At 42.4% G+C, this 14,925-nt stretch overlaps 1 protein-coding gene across 21 annotated transcripts in view, besides 1 other annotated feature; it reads left to right on the forward strand.

Annotated features, from left to right (window-relative positions):
- KIAA1217 overlaps positions 1-14,925 on the forward strand; it is an 853,117-nt gene that overhangs the window by 521,144 nt on the left and 317,048 nt on the right. For all 21 annotated transcript variants that reach the window (NM_001098500.3, NM_019590.5, XM_047425513.1 and 18 more), the window contains one exon: positions 3,756-4,039. In NM_001098500.3, coding sequence (NP_001091970.1) covers positions 3,926-4,039 — 114 coding nt within the window. In that variant the 5' untranslated portion in view covers positions 3,756-3,925. The remainder of the gene's footprint in view (positions 1-3,755; positions 4,040-14,925) is intronic.
- Positions 6,801-7,529: an enhancer, noted in NCBI's record as "NANOG-H3K27ac hESC enhancer chr10:24511600-24512328 (GRCh37/hg19 assembly coordinates)". NCBI's record gives its function as "activates a minimal SCP1, AML or CMV promoter by ChIP-STARR-seq in primed H9 embryonic stem cells {active_cell/tissue: H9 hESC(primed)}" and the evidence as "EXISTENCE:reporter gene assay evidence [ECO:0000049][PMID:30033119]".

Genomic DNA, 14,925 nt, shown 5'->3' on the forward strand with positions numbered 1-14,925 from the left:
GTGGAAGGCACAAGGCAGGAAATTGAGACAAAAGGAAGGAGTGAGCTCCAAAGGCAATCCGATGTTTGCCAAGTGGCTGCATTGAGCCTTCTAGCCTTGCTAGTGGTTGATGCTTTTTGTACCTTTCCTCTAAATCGCATCAATCCTTGTTAAGCAACTGGAGATATTTTGGAAAAATCCACAAGAAAGAGAAAAAACAGAAAAGCAACATGAGGTGAAAAGTGCTAGGAAAAAAACAGGGGTCTGATGAGTCTAGTCCAGTAAGTCAGGGCTGCTCAAAGATTAATGTGGACTGAAGATTGGCTCTGACCCCCAAAACTCTCCCCTTCCATCTCCCTTCCCAACTCATTTCAAAGAAGAAAGAGGGTTTATTGTCCCGGCTGTCTTGAACTCTCTTGATGCTCTTTGGATGAAACAGAATAGATCATATGAGCCTGTGCAGCATAGTAAGGCAGGATGCGACTTTCTGCCGTTATTGCCGTTGGACATGCATGGATGTTTATCTGTATGGCTGTATGTGTGTATGTAGACAGATGTGTGTATGCCTGCATAAGAAATCACCTTTCCAGAGGCTCAATCCTGTTAATTCATCTAGCTGTCCTGGATAACTTAAAATATATTTTCTTAATAATGTCAAAACTAATCTTCCAATTCCACTTAAAAGTCAATAGCATTGCTGGGTGTGATGGCTCATACTTGTAATCCCGGCACTTTGGGAGGCTGAGGTGGGCAGATCACTTGAGGTCAGGGGTTCGAGACCAGCCTGGCCAACATGGTGAAACCCCATCTCTATTAGAAATACAAAAATTAGCCGGGCATGGTTGCGCACGGCTGTAATCTCAGCTACTCGGGAGGCTGAGGTACAAGAATTGCTCGAACTCGGGAGGTAGAGGTTGCAGTGAGCTGAGATCGCACCACTGCACTCCAGCCTGAGTGATGGAGTGAGACTCTGTGTCCAAAAAAAAAAAAAAAAAGGTAAAAAATAAAATAAAATACATAAAAATAAAAATAAATAGCCAGATGTGGTGGCACACATCTGCGGTCCCAGCTAGTCAGGAGGCTGAGGCAAGAAGATTGCTTATGCCCAGGAGGTAAAGGCTGCAGTGAGCCATGATCATGCTACTGCATTCCAGCCTGGGTGACAGAGCAAGACCTTGTCTCAAAAAAAAAAAAAAAAAAAAAAAAAAAGGCAAGAGTGTTAGATCAAGTATACAACAATTTTGGCTGATATGAAACACATGCACAGCACTCAAAAGATAAAGCTAAACCTCTTCAGATTGCACAGGTATTTATCAACCTGAGAGACAGCATTTTTGGCATCTAGCTTTGTTCAGTAGATCCTGTTATTTCTCTGTTATTAAGGAAGAGATCATTTTAAAGGTAGCCATGATGTGAGTCTAAGTGTTGGAAGCGCAACCTAAATAAATGAAATGACAGTTTAGCCCCCAATATCTTTTAAACCAATAGTTCCATCTTCTTCTCCTTGTAAACTTACTGCTGAAACTAATGAAAAGTAGAAGAATTGACTAATTTGGCTGTGCTTTTCCTTCCCTTCCCCATCAGTGTCTGATGGAGATGCTATAATTAGCAATGTAATGAGAATTGAAGGGTAAACAAGAAGAATTATTCCCAGAACACACATCAAGGGTTAGAAGACTGGAACAGGAAAACCAGCCTGAGATGAAAATATTTTCTCTGCCCAACCAACGGGCATCTATACCTAGAGTTCTATATACAGATCTTTCTAGGCAAAGACAAGGGAAAGAGTGGTGGTCACATTGCTTTCAGGAAACTGGTTTATGCCTAGACTCTTAACACCTGTTGCTTTGCAAAACTAGTGTGAAGGATTGGTTCTCTGTTTATCTGGGATTCAACTGAGCAGAACTCCCAAATATTAAATCTGTATTTTTCTGCACTTAACTTGTAAAGATAAATAATTGGCAAATATGCTTCTATTGGAAACTTATTTTTAAAAAAATTAGAATAGTTTTAAAAGATTTAGAGGTAGAAGGCTCTTTGCATACCTAATGTTAGTTCAGTCGTCTTCATTTTATTCATGAAGAGAATGACACTGAGAGAGGTCACATCATTTGTTCTAAATGTCGGATTAAAGCCAAGATTCCTGAGATCCAGCCTAGTACTTTTTCCAGGGAATTCAGTGGACAAGGAAACATTATTCTGCCTATATCAGCAATACTTTATGATAAGAACTGTTCTTCGTGAAGAGCCTGACTTCATGAAGAGAGCCTGTCTAACTCCTGAAGTGCTTCTGAATGTTTTACTTTTTCTCCCTAATCTATTTGTTTTTTTTAAAAAAGTAACTCTTTTTTCTGAGCTAGCTGGAATATTCATACCTGACACCCCATCTCCCAACCATCGAGGATGAATGGAGATTCCCTTTACATGCTCCCCACTCTCAGCATTGACATCATATGACTTGGTTGATCTGTTCTTAGCAGAAACCAACTTGTCCCTTCAAAGCCAGCTCAGAAGGCAGGATGTCTTAGGTCCAGGCTATCAGGATGTACCATTGCTCTTCCTTTTCACTGTGTTTTAGGTAAAGTCCACCTCAAGTAAAATTTGTCTAAGCCTTTACTTTATAACTCCTCGATTGTTACTTTTTTTTTTTTTCTTTTGAGACGGAGTCTTGCTCTGTCTCCCAGGCTGGAGTGCAGTGGCGTGATCTCGGCTCACTGCAAGCTCCGCCTCCCAGGTTCACGCCATTCTCCTGCCTCAGCCTCCCGAGTAGCTGGGACTACAGGTGCCCACCACCATGCCCAGCTAATTTTTTTGTATTTTCAGTAGAAACGGGGTTTCACTGTGTTAGCCAGGATGGTCTCGATCTCCTGACCTCGTGATTCACCCGCCTCGGCCTCCCAAAGTGCTGGGATTACAGGCATGAGCCACGGCGCCTGGCCCTCGATTGTTACTTCTGATGGTATTCTTATGCTTGCTTGGTTTATGCCAATATGAGAAAATAAAATTTTCAAATGGTTCACATGTGTCAATGATTACTTACGTACAGGGTGATAGCTATTTTTGTTCTTGGTGATGAAGCAAATGTTTCAGAAACCCGACTGAGCTTATATAAGAATCCTGTTACCAGAATGCAACTGTTATTAAAAATACAGAAATAATCAGAATCACTGGAGTTAACTCTTTCTATAATTACAGACAAGGATAAGGAATAACCCTATTGCCTGCACACAAGTAGCCTAACCAAGTGTTCTTGAGGGTTTTCTTGTTTTTGTGTTTTGAGACAGGGTCTCACAACTGTCACCTACCCAGGCTTGAATGCAGTGGCACGATCATAGCTCACTGCAGCCTTGACCTCTTGGACTCAAGCAGTTGTCTTGCCTCAGCCTCCCGAGAAGCTGGGACCACAGGCGTGCACCACTACGCCTGGCTAATTTTAATTTTTTGTAGAGATAGGGGTCTACTATGTTACCCAGGCTGGTCTCGAACTCTTGGGCTTAAGCGATCCTCCCGCCTTAGCCTCCCAAAGTGCTGGGGTTACAGGCAGGAGTCGCCATGCCCAATGAACATCTTTATTTCTAAAGTACGATTTTTCATATTTCTTTGATTGTGGATTTTCTCCCCTGACTGCTGCAAAGCAGAAAAAGAAAGAAAAAGAAAAAAGATTTGCGAAGTTAACATTCATACATTAACAACTGCCGCAAACCCTCTTGGTGTTCTGCAAATGAGACTTCTAGTGTGAAATCATTAATTGTGAACCGAATTTTTTTGTCTTTCAGAACAAGGCAAAGGCAATCTGCATGTAACATCACCAGAAGATGCAGAATGCCGCAGAACCAAGGAACGCCTTTCTAATGGAAACAGTCGTGGTTCAGTTTCCAAGTCTTCCCGCAATATCCCAAGGAGACACACCCTAGGGGGGCCCCGAAGTTCCAAGGAAATACTGGGAATGCAAACATCTGAGATGGATCGGAAGAGAGAAGCGTTCCTAGAACATCTGAAGCAGAAGTACCCCCACCACGCCTCTGCAATCATGGGTCACCAAGAGAGGCTGAGAGACCAGGTACGAATATGCTCTCATTTCTCCTTGTGTAGCTCGCTCTCTAATGAACATCGAGGAAAGCAAACTTACTTTCTTTGTAAAAGGTAAAGGATAGCTTAGTGGACTGTGCATACTATTTAGTTGTTCTGGATTTCTTTGGGGCCTTGGGAGGAGGAAGCCGGGTGTAGAAAACTTCTGCCTGCAAGCTCAGTCTTCTTTGCCAATACAGCAAGAGAACAGGAGGCCAGGCCAGAGAGGAAGGGCCTAGAGAGTATGCAGTTCCCCAAAAGAGTGTTCCCATGTTCAACCACAAACACATCTAAACACATCTAAAGTGCAGGGAATGAAGGGGTATTATCTACTGAGGAAAGCATGGCACCAACTACCGTGTACCCTGAAAGCACGGAGTGCTTAGCACTGTGAATGAATGAAGTAATGAATGAATGAATACACAAATACATAAATGTATTTTCAGGGTAAAATAGATCTTACAGATACAGACTTGTGGTAACTCCTTTTCCTTAAAAAGCTGACATTAGGGTTTTGTTTCTGCTCTTCTTTTTTTTTTTTTTTTTTTTTTTTTTGAGATGGAGTCTTGCTCTGTCGCCCAGGCTAGAGTGCAGTGGTGCGATCTTGGTTCACTGCAAGCTCTGCCTCCCGGGTTCACACCATTCTCCTGCCTCAGCCTCCTGAGTAGCTGGGACTACAGGCACTGGCCACCATGCCCGGCTAATTTTTTGTATTTTTAGTAGAGACGGTGTTTCATCGTGTTACCCAGGATGGTCTCGATCTCCTGATCTCGTGATCCGCCCACCTCAGCCTCCCAAAGTGCTGGGATTACAGGCGTAAGCCACTGCACCCCGGCCTTTTTTTTTTTTTTTTTTTTTTTGGAGATGGGTTATTGCTGTATTACCCAGGCTGGAGTGCAGTAGTGCCATCATAGCTCACTGCAGCCTAGAAATCCTGCACTCAAGATCCTCTCATCTCAGCCTCCTGACTAGCTAGGACTACAGACATGCAGCACCATGCCTGGCTCATTTTTTATTTTTGGTAGTAGAGACGGGGTCTTTCTCTATTGACCAGGTTGGTCTTGAACTCCTGGCCTCAAGTGATCCTCCTGCTTCTGTCTCCCAAAGTACTAGAATTACAGGCATGAACCACTGTGCCTGGCATTTTTTTCTTTTGAATCACAGATGTGCTCCTTCTGCATGCGTTGCTTTGTGCTAGCTTTCTGTCTTCACCTACCTGTTTCCTCTGGTTATTTTGACAGTCATATAGACATTACCCAACTGTGGCTAGGGATGTTTTTGTTTCTTGGCTGTGTGCAATTACTTTTAGCAGATAGAGCAAGTTTGGGGTCACAGGAGATTTGAGGCCTCCTCTACCGACCTCACTGGCGAGTTACCAGATTGACCTTTGTGTATGGAGAATGTAGGGAAGGAAGCAGAAAGCACTTAACCATATATGTGACGGGTGGGGGTGGGAAGGAGGGCAGGATGATATTGATTTCCACACAAGGGAGGAAAGCTCAGTGTTTTAAGTCTGCTGTCTTCCCAGTTAGGTGCAAAAATTATGTCTAACTCACTCAGCCTTTGATTATCCATGGAAATGGAGATTGGCATCAGCCCGAATAATTGAAATCTATACTTTATTCTCAATCTCATATTCTTCCTTAAATTCAATCTTCTCTTCTAGAGAATCATTATCTGAGTGGCTAAAAATGTGAAACGTGCTTTATGGACTTCATGTTTGCTTTTTGTTCACACTTCCAACAGTCAGTAAACCCAGAAGAGGAGAAAAGAAAAAGAATCCTGGTTGCTATAAGGATGGGCTAATGATTAATTCTTTGATAATTTTAAAAAGACTCTGGGCACAGTGGTTCATGCCTGTAATCCCAACACTTTGGGAAGCCAAGGCTAGAGGATCAGTTGAGGCCAGGAGCTTGAGACCAGCTGGGTAACATAGCGAGACCCCATCTCAACAAAAAAATTTAAAAAAATTAACTGGGTGTGGTGGCACACACCTGTAGTCCCAGCTTCTCAGGAGACTGAGGTGGGAAGATCACTGAAGCCCCAAAATGAGACCCCGTCTCTAAAACAAAAGTATCAATTTTGCTGAGAAATATAGAAATTGGCCTGTCAAAAATGGTATATTTTTCCATGTCAAAAATAATGATTATTGTTACTCTTCTTATTTGTAGTGTTATAATTATTGTTATTGCTGTAATAATGGTGGCTTTGGTTAAAACAATTACAAGGGAAGCCTAATTATAATTAAGGTTGAAAGGAGTAATGAATATATTTTGGTGTTCTCAAGCTCTGATCTGCTGTTACATACATTGCTAGTTCTGCCATGGCTGGCCAGCTGTCCCTTCTCTGATAATGAGGGATGAACAAGTCACATTCTATCTTTCTGCCTCTTTTGTACTCGAAGCTGACCATCCAAAAGGAGAGAGTTTTTAATGCATGAATCTATGTATACATTTTTATTCTCTTATTAACAGGAAAGGGGTCCTGATCCAGACCCCAAGAGAGGGTTCTTGGGTCTCGCACAAGAAAGAATTCAGGGTGAGTTCATAAAGTGAAAGCAAGAATTTTGTTTGTTTGTTTTTGTTTTTGTTTTTTGAGATGGAGTCTCGCTCTGTTGCCCAGGCTGGAGTACAGTGGCGCAATCTTGGCTCACTGCAACCTCCACTCACTTCAACCTCCACCTCTCAGGTTCAAGTAATTCTCTTGCCTCAGCCCCCCAGTAGCTGAGATTACAAGTATGCACCACCACACCCAGCTAATTTTTGTAGTTTTAGTAGAGACGGTGTTTTACCATGTTGGCCAGGCTGGTCTCGAACTCCTGACCTCAGGCGATCCACCTACCTCGGCCTCCCAAAGTGCTGGGATCACAGGTGTGAGCCCCCATGCTGACAAAAGGAAGTTTATTAGCAAAGTAAAGAAATAAAAGAATGGCTACTCCATAGAGCAGCCCTGAGGGCTGCTGGTTGCCCATTTTTATGGTTATTTCTTGATGATATGCTAAACAAGGGGTGGATTATTCATGCCTCCCCTTTTTAGACCATATAGGATAATTTCCTGACGTTGCCATGGCATTTGTAAACTGTCATGGCAGTGGTGGGAGTGTAGCAGTGAGGACCACCAGAGGTCACTCTTGTGGCCATGTTGGTTTGGTAGGTTTTGGCTGGTGTCTTTACTGTGACCTGTTTTATCAGTAGGGTCTTTATGATCTGTATCTTGTGATGACCTCCTATCTCACCCTGTGACTTAGAATGTCTTAACCGTCTGGGAATGCAGCCCAGTAGGTCTCAGCCTCATTTTACCTAGCTCCTATTTAAGATGGAGTTGCTCTGGTTCAAACGCCCCTAACACTGTCATTGCCCTTCTGCAAGCAAACCCCAACCAGCATTGTAAACACCAGAGATCGGTGTAGACATGGCCTATGAAATTGCTGCAGACATCATCTCATCTTCTGTCTTTTCCACTCTTTTTCTCCTACCACCCATTTCCTCTTTCCTGTCTTCCTCTCTGCAATGCCATTTGTTCCTCCTGGACCTTCTCAGTATGGACTATCCCAGGCTTCCTTTGCAGGAAGATTACACAGCCAGCTGTGAGAAGGAAGTCAGATAACACACATCTGATGCTCTCCTCCAGATACTGAGGCTCTTAATACCAGATGCTCTTCTGGCAGCTGTTTTTCTGGCTTCCTCTCAGAGAAGTATCCTTGATAAGAAGAGAGCCAATCAGCAAGATAGAGAATAAGATGTTGAAAGTGATGTATCTGCCGTCTAACATGAAATCTCTTAAAATCTAGGTTCTTTTTTTTTTTTTTTTTTGGAAGACAGGGTCTTGCTCTGTTGCCCAGGCTAGAGTGCAGTGGCATGATCATGGCTCACTGCAGCCTCAACCTCCGCGGCTCAAGCAATCCTCCCACCCCAGCACCCACCACCCACCCCGCCCACCCCCAGATAACTGGGAGTCCAGGAGTGCTTCATCATACCCGACTGAAAATCTAGGTTCTAATTTCCTGCTATTAAACATAAGAAGAATGAGAGCATGCCTTATGTTTCCAAATCTGACTTCAAACACTGGAAGATTCACGGTTGCAAAACTTCTGTTTGTCTTTAAAAAATATGTTGGTCAAGAGTTTTCTTTAGTCTAAAATTATTGAAAGGCTAAGAGGTCACCTTAACTCCCTTCTACAGTCTTCAAAAAATGCGGGTGGCCCTTATTGCAACATAATGCTGATCTGCATAATAGTAGCTGTGATCGTTAAGGACTCTTATCAGCATAACCTTAGTTGTGCAGGGCAGTCAGGCTGTACAGCCTCATTGCCTGGCAGCTAAGGGCTTGGTTTGGATGCAGGTGGGACTCATCAGGATCCAGCCTTCACAATATGCTAATTCTATGATTTGGGCTAATAGCTTAATCTTTCTTTCTTTTTTCTTTCTTTTTTTTTTGAGACAGAGTCTCACTCTTTCAGTCACCCAGGCTGGAGTGCAGTGGTGCAATCTTGGCTCACTGCAACCTCCACCTCCTGGGTTAAGCCATTCTTGTGCCTCAAGCCTCCCGAGTAGCTGGGATTACAGGTGTGCACCACCATACACCATACCCAGCCAATTTTTGTATTTTTAGTAGAGATGGGGCTAGTCTGGAACTCAAGTGATCTGCGTGCCTCAGCCTCCCAAAGTGTTGGGATTACAGGTGTGAGCCACTGCACCCGACCTTAATGGCTTAATCTTTCTCTGTTTCAGTTTCCTCGTTTGTCAAAGGAAAATAGTATCTACATCATGGAGCACTGAGAAATACAACGATGGAATCTTTTACTGTTTCACTGGCAGCTTTTAGCGTGATAATATTCTGGTTTTTAGTGTCCCAAAGAAGAGTCTCAGAGGCTCTTATTTTTAAATTAGTACTTAAAATCATTTGACTTTTTTTTTTTTTTTTTTTTGAGATGGAGTCTCACTCTGTCACCCAGGCTGGAGTGCAGTGGCGCAGTCTCGGCTTACTGCAAGCTCCGCCTCCCAGGTTCACGCCATTCTCCTGCCTCAGCCTCCCGAGTAGCTGGGACTACAGGCGCCCACCACCACGCCTAGCTAATATTTTGTATTTTTAGTAGAGACGGGGTTCACTGTGTTAGCCAGGATGGTCTCGATCTCCTGACATTGTGATCTGCCCGCCTTGGCCTCCCAAAGTGCTGGGATTACAGGCGTGAGCCACCATGCCTGGCCCAATCATTTGACTTTTTTATTTTTTCAAGACAAGATCTCACTCTTGTTTAGAGTGCAGTGGCGTGATCACAGCTCACTGCAGCCTTGAACTCCTGGGCTCAAGTGATCCTCTCACCTTAGCCTCCTGAGTAGCAACTACAGGCACACGTCACCACTTCTGGCCAGTTTTAAAAATTATTTGTAGGGACAGGGTCTTGCTGTGTTGCCCAGATTGGTCTTCAAAGCCTGGCCTCAAGCGATCCTCTCGCTTTGACCTCCTAAAGTGCTGGGATCATGAGCCACTGCACCTGGCCTCACTTGACTTTTTTGTCAACAAATATTTGAGCACCTGAAGAGGTTAATTTTTTCCATTGTTAAAGAATAACTTTATTACATTTCTGAAACTGGTATTTTTCTTTCATTCAGTGCTTAGTATTCATATTTCTTTTATTTATTTATCCCATATATATTTATTTGGCACCTACCATGGTAAAGGTATTTGAGAAGAATGCAAACCATTGGACTTAACCCTGTCTTCAATTCAGTAAAAGAAATAGGCATTCACATATAAAGAATAGTCTTTCCAGATCCAGCCCAGATGGCATGCCTTCTGAGATGGTCATAACATTGCAGTACTGCAGTACTTACATTGTAGCATCTAATCAGGTTGCATTACATATATTTTTTACATTTCTTTTTCTCACCTAGAATAATCTTCTGGAGGTAGAAACCTTGTCTTACCACCCATTTCTTCTTTCGCCTCTGTAAACTCAGCATTTAAAGGAATACACAACCTAGATTAGGCTAGATCCAAAATTTCTGTTGCGTGAAGGAATGAGCCACTATTTCTAATACAGTTAGAATGTGATAGATGGTACAGATAGAGAGGGGTACAGAGCCACAGAATTCAATGATTGATTGCAGTTTGAGCAGTCAGAAAGAAGAGATTTCTTAACTAAGAAGTTAGGAATGGCTAAGTAATTTTCCCCTAAGTTAAGAAGTCAACATTTGAACCAGGGCCAGAATTTCCTGTCCTCAGAGGAGGTCTCCAGGAAAAAAAAAAAGAATTTCCAGTTTATGGTCTTTTCATTCATTATGGGCCTATGGACCTTGGTTTTCTTAAAGGTTTTCTTCCACCTCTAATTTTTCCAAAGTTTGTTGACATCATGTACATCACATTGGGTCAAGCAATAGAGCCATAGACATGACTTCCATTGCCGTTTCTTTAAAAAGGCAAATCTGACTGGGTGCGGTGGCTCACGCCTGCAGTCCCAACACTTTGGGAGGCTAAGGCGGGCAGATCACGAGGTCAGGAGATCGAGACCATCCTGGCTAACACGGTGAAACCCCGTCTCTACTAAAAAAAAAAAAATACAAAAATACAGAAAATTAGCTGGGCATGGAGGCACACGCCTGTAGTCCCAGCTACTCTGGAGGCTGAGGTGGGAGAATTGCTTGAACCCAGGAGGCAGAGGTTGCAGTGAGCCAAGATCGCACCACTGCACTCCAGCCTGGGTGACAGAGCGAGACTCCATCTCAAAAAAAAAATAATAATAATAAATAAATAAAGGCAAATCTTACTCCATTCCAGAGCATATTAAATAACCAATAACCATAGAAAATAGATTCCTATCTGTATTTTATATAAAAAGAAAGTTGCTTCTTTTAAAAACTCTGAGTTCAGAAAGATCTGTAGTCCAGCAATCCCTCACAGTTGTGGTCACTGTGTAACTGCACAGTTTGGAAATGCTATTTTTTATGTCTTCATTAATGAATAGATGTTGATGGCTTCTTACTTGCAGAAACCAACTTTCCACTCCTAGTCTCAGAAACCATTCTGAAATTAATTTTTCAATCTTTACTCCCAGTTATTCACAGAATTTCTACCTAACTTACTTGGTATATAGAATCTACTCTGTGGTTTCAGTTAGTCTATGTGGATTCTTTTATCTGATGTGCTCAGATCATAAAAGAAACGAATAATACATTTTAACCTAAAAATCTGACATGTCCAACAAAGAGTAAGAGAGATATAAAGGGATTATTATTATTATTATTATTATCATTATTTTGAGACAGAGTCTCGCTCTGTCACCCAGGCTGGAGTGCAATGGCGCGATCTTTTCTCACTGCAACCTCTGCCTCCTGGGTTCAAGCGATTCTCCTGCCTCAGCCTCCCAAGTAGCTGGGATTACAGGGGTCCGCCACCACACCCAGCTAATTTTTTGTATTTTTAATAGAGACAGGGTTTCACTATGTTGGCCAGGCTGATCTCAAACTCCTGACCTCAGATGGTCCACCTGCCTCGGCCTCCCAAAGTGTTGGGATTACAGGTGTGAGCCACCGCACCTGGTCGGGATTATTCTTTAACATGAACATTACAGGGGGCAAAAATAAGGAGATAAGAAAATGAACACCAATATGAGCACTTTTTTTTTCTTTTTTTTGAGTCAGAGTCTTGCTCTGTTGCCCAGGCTGGAGTGCAGTGGCGCAATCTTGGCTCACTGCAAGCTCTGCCTCCTGGGTTCAGGCCATTCTCCTGCCTCAGCCTCCCAAGTAGCTGGGACTACAGGCGCCCGCCACCATGCCCGGCTAATTTTTTGTATTTTTAGTAGAGACGGGGTTTCACCGTGTTAGTCAGGATGGTCTCGAGCTCCTGGCCTCATGATCCACCCACCTCGGCCTCCCAAAGTGCTGGGATTACAGGCGTGAGCCACTGCGCCCGGCCAATATGAGCATTTGAAACAGGGTCAGTGAGGCCAAGAGGTCATTCTTCTGGTTTCTCCCATCAGACCAGGGCTTTGCTGCTGTCTGAGTGCCCCTCAGGCTTCCTTAGGGTCCCCTCCTCAACCATCCCCTCCTTTGAATGTGTTTGTGTAAAAACTGCTCTGGAGACCAGGAGAGCTGGCTCACACCTATAATCTCAACACCTAGGGAGGCTGAGGTGGATCACTTAAGTACAGGAATTTGAGACCAGCCTGGGCAACATGGGAAAGCCCCTACTCTACAAAAAATACAAAAATTAGATGGGCATGATGACTCGTGCCAGTTGGGGGGCTGAGGTGGGAGGATCAATTGAGCCTGGGAGATCAAGGCTGCAGTGAGCTGTGATTGTACCACTGCACTTCACCCTGGGCAGCAGAACGAGACCCCTTCTTAAAACAACAACAACAAAAAATCAAATATAGGTTATCATAAGAAAGCTGCAAAGAGAAGTATGTCTTAAAGCTGATGTATTAATCAGGATTGTCTATTAGGTTGGTGCAAAAGTAATTGCAGTTTTTGCCATTACTTTTGCACCAACCTAATAGGTTATGCTACTTAACAAATTAACCCTGTGATTTATTAATATTTGTGGTATTTTCTGATATGACAGAGAAACATTTTATTTCTTACACACACAAATCTTATTCTCACAATGACTTAGGAATTCTGGCTACTTCCCTCTTGCGATCATGCCATCTCAACACATGGATTCCAGGTCACCATGACAGAGAGAGACAGAGCTGATGGGTTGTATACACGCTCTTAAATATATTGGCCTGGAAGTGGCATATGTCACTTCACTTCATAGTAGCTTCTTGGTTCTAGTACCCACTGGGATATTTGTTGTATTCAGGTTTTGGCTGTGGAATCTAGCTTAAGACTAAAATCTTCCTGCTCTAGTTTGTTTCATCAGCTCTCCCAATGTAATTGATTATTTTATCAATTTTGTTATACCTAGCACTTTATCTGTACAATGACGTCATTGGCATTTTTACAGAATATAAACATATTAACAGATATTCCTATCTGTAAGTAATGGCATCTATGTCTTTGTGACTTATTTTTGATGAATTTAATTGTATCAAATCAAATTGCAGAACTCCAGCATGGACTATGCTGTATGCTGTAGATCTCAGGGAGTCAGTTTATACCTCAGGGAATAAACGTACTACCCTCTGTTATGTGTGAAAAACTCCAAATTCATTAGATATGCATCTGTCATATTTGTCTTGGCTCTGATCTATATCTGTCTATTCAAAATTTACGTACATGCATCTATATTTATGAAGGTACCTTCCAGTGAAGGCTGAAAAGTAAGGCTAATTGAAATTAAGACACATGTATACTATACACTGTTCAGTAAGTCGCAGCCTTTGGCCACAGTGAAGGTCTGGATACAAGGCTAATGTTGTAGAAAGTGTATGTTTTGAAAAACTAGGCATGTTTTGTAAATAAATAAATAAGTAAAAAGTTTAGAAATGGAACTAGACTCAGCTAAGAATTTCCTCTTCAGAGCTATTAATTTATTCTAATCCAATGGCGAAATGATGGGAGAATAGCCACATGTAGTAGAAGCAGCTACTTAGTTGTGTGAACTAATGACTGAATATGAGTTTACAGAGCTGTTTCTTTTTTATTTTTATTTTGTTTATTTATTTATTCTTTTGAGATAGAGTCTTGCACTGTTACCCAGGCTGGAGTGCAATGGCACAATCTCGGCTCACTGCAACCTCCGCCTCCCGGGTTCAAGCAAGTCTCCTGCCTCAGCCTCCCAAGTAGCTGGGATTACAGGTGCCCACCACCATGCCTGGCTAATATTTTGTATTTTTAGTAGAGACAAGGTTTCACCATATTGGCCAGGCTGGTCTCAAACTCCTGACCTTGTGATCTACCTGCCTCCCAAAGTGCTGGGATTACAGTCATGAGCCACTGTACCCAGCCTCAGAGCAGTTTTTTACCTAAACTTTTGGGAGGAAAGGACATAAATTTTTTAGCAATTAAGAAATCTAGTATACTGTGTGCACAGCAAATAATAATAGCACCAAAATCTCACAAATCACCGGTGAAGAACTTACTCATTTAACCAAATACTACCTATTCCTCAAAAACGTATAGAAATAAAAAATAAATAAATAAAATATTAATAAGCCACAATAGGAAGAGGGAAGAAATATCCTTATGCAAACTATGAAGAACACAGAGAAAGCCAGTAACATGCTCAGTATTTTTTTTAGCACTGTTTTCTCAACAAATATTTATAATGGTGGAAAAGACTGTAAGGAGAACGTATTATTTGCCATCAGCTAAAATTGCTGTGCTGTTTCTCTTTACATGTATTACAGGTTGAGTATCCTTTATCTGAAATGCTTGGGACCAGAAATATTTCAGATTTCAATTTTTTTGGGGGGTGGATTTTGAAATATCTGCATTATATACTTACTGGTTGAGCATCTCTAATTTGAAAATCTGAAATCCGAAATGCTCCACCATGGCCTTTGAGTGTCATGTTGGTACGCAAATATCTCAGATTTTGGAGCTTTTCAGATATTGAATTTCAAGATTAGGGATGCCGAGCCTGTAGTGTAGTCCATCCTCTCTACAACTCTGTTGGGTAGGCACTACTATTTGTTTTGTTTTTTTTTTTTTTTTTTTTTGAGACAGAGTCTCACTCTTTCATCCAGGCTGGAATGCATCTTGGCAGGTGCGATCTTGGCTCACAGCAATCTCTGCCTCCTGGGTTCAAGCAGTTCTCCTGCCTCAGCCTCCCAAGTACCTGGGATTACAGGTGCCTGCAACCACTCCTGGCTAACTTTTGCATTTTTGGCTAACTTTTGCATTTTTAGTTGAAATGTGGTTTCACCATGTTGCCCAGGCTGATCTTGAACTCCTGGCCTCAAGTGATCCACCCACCTTGGCCTCCCAAAGT

The sequence above is a fragment of the Homo sapiens genome, chromosome 10, assembly GCF_000001405.40.
Source record: "Homo sapiens chromosome 10, GRCh38.p14 Primary Assembly".
NCBI lineage: Eukaryota > Metazoa > Chordata > Mammalia > Primates > Hominidae > Homo > Homo sapiens.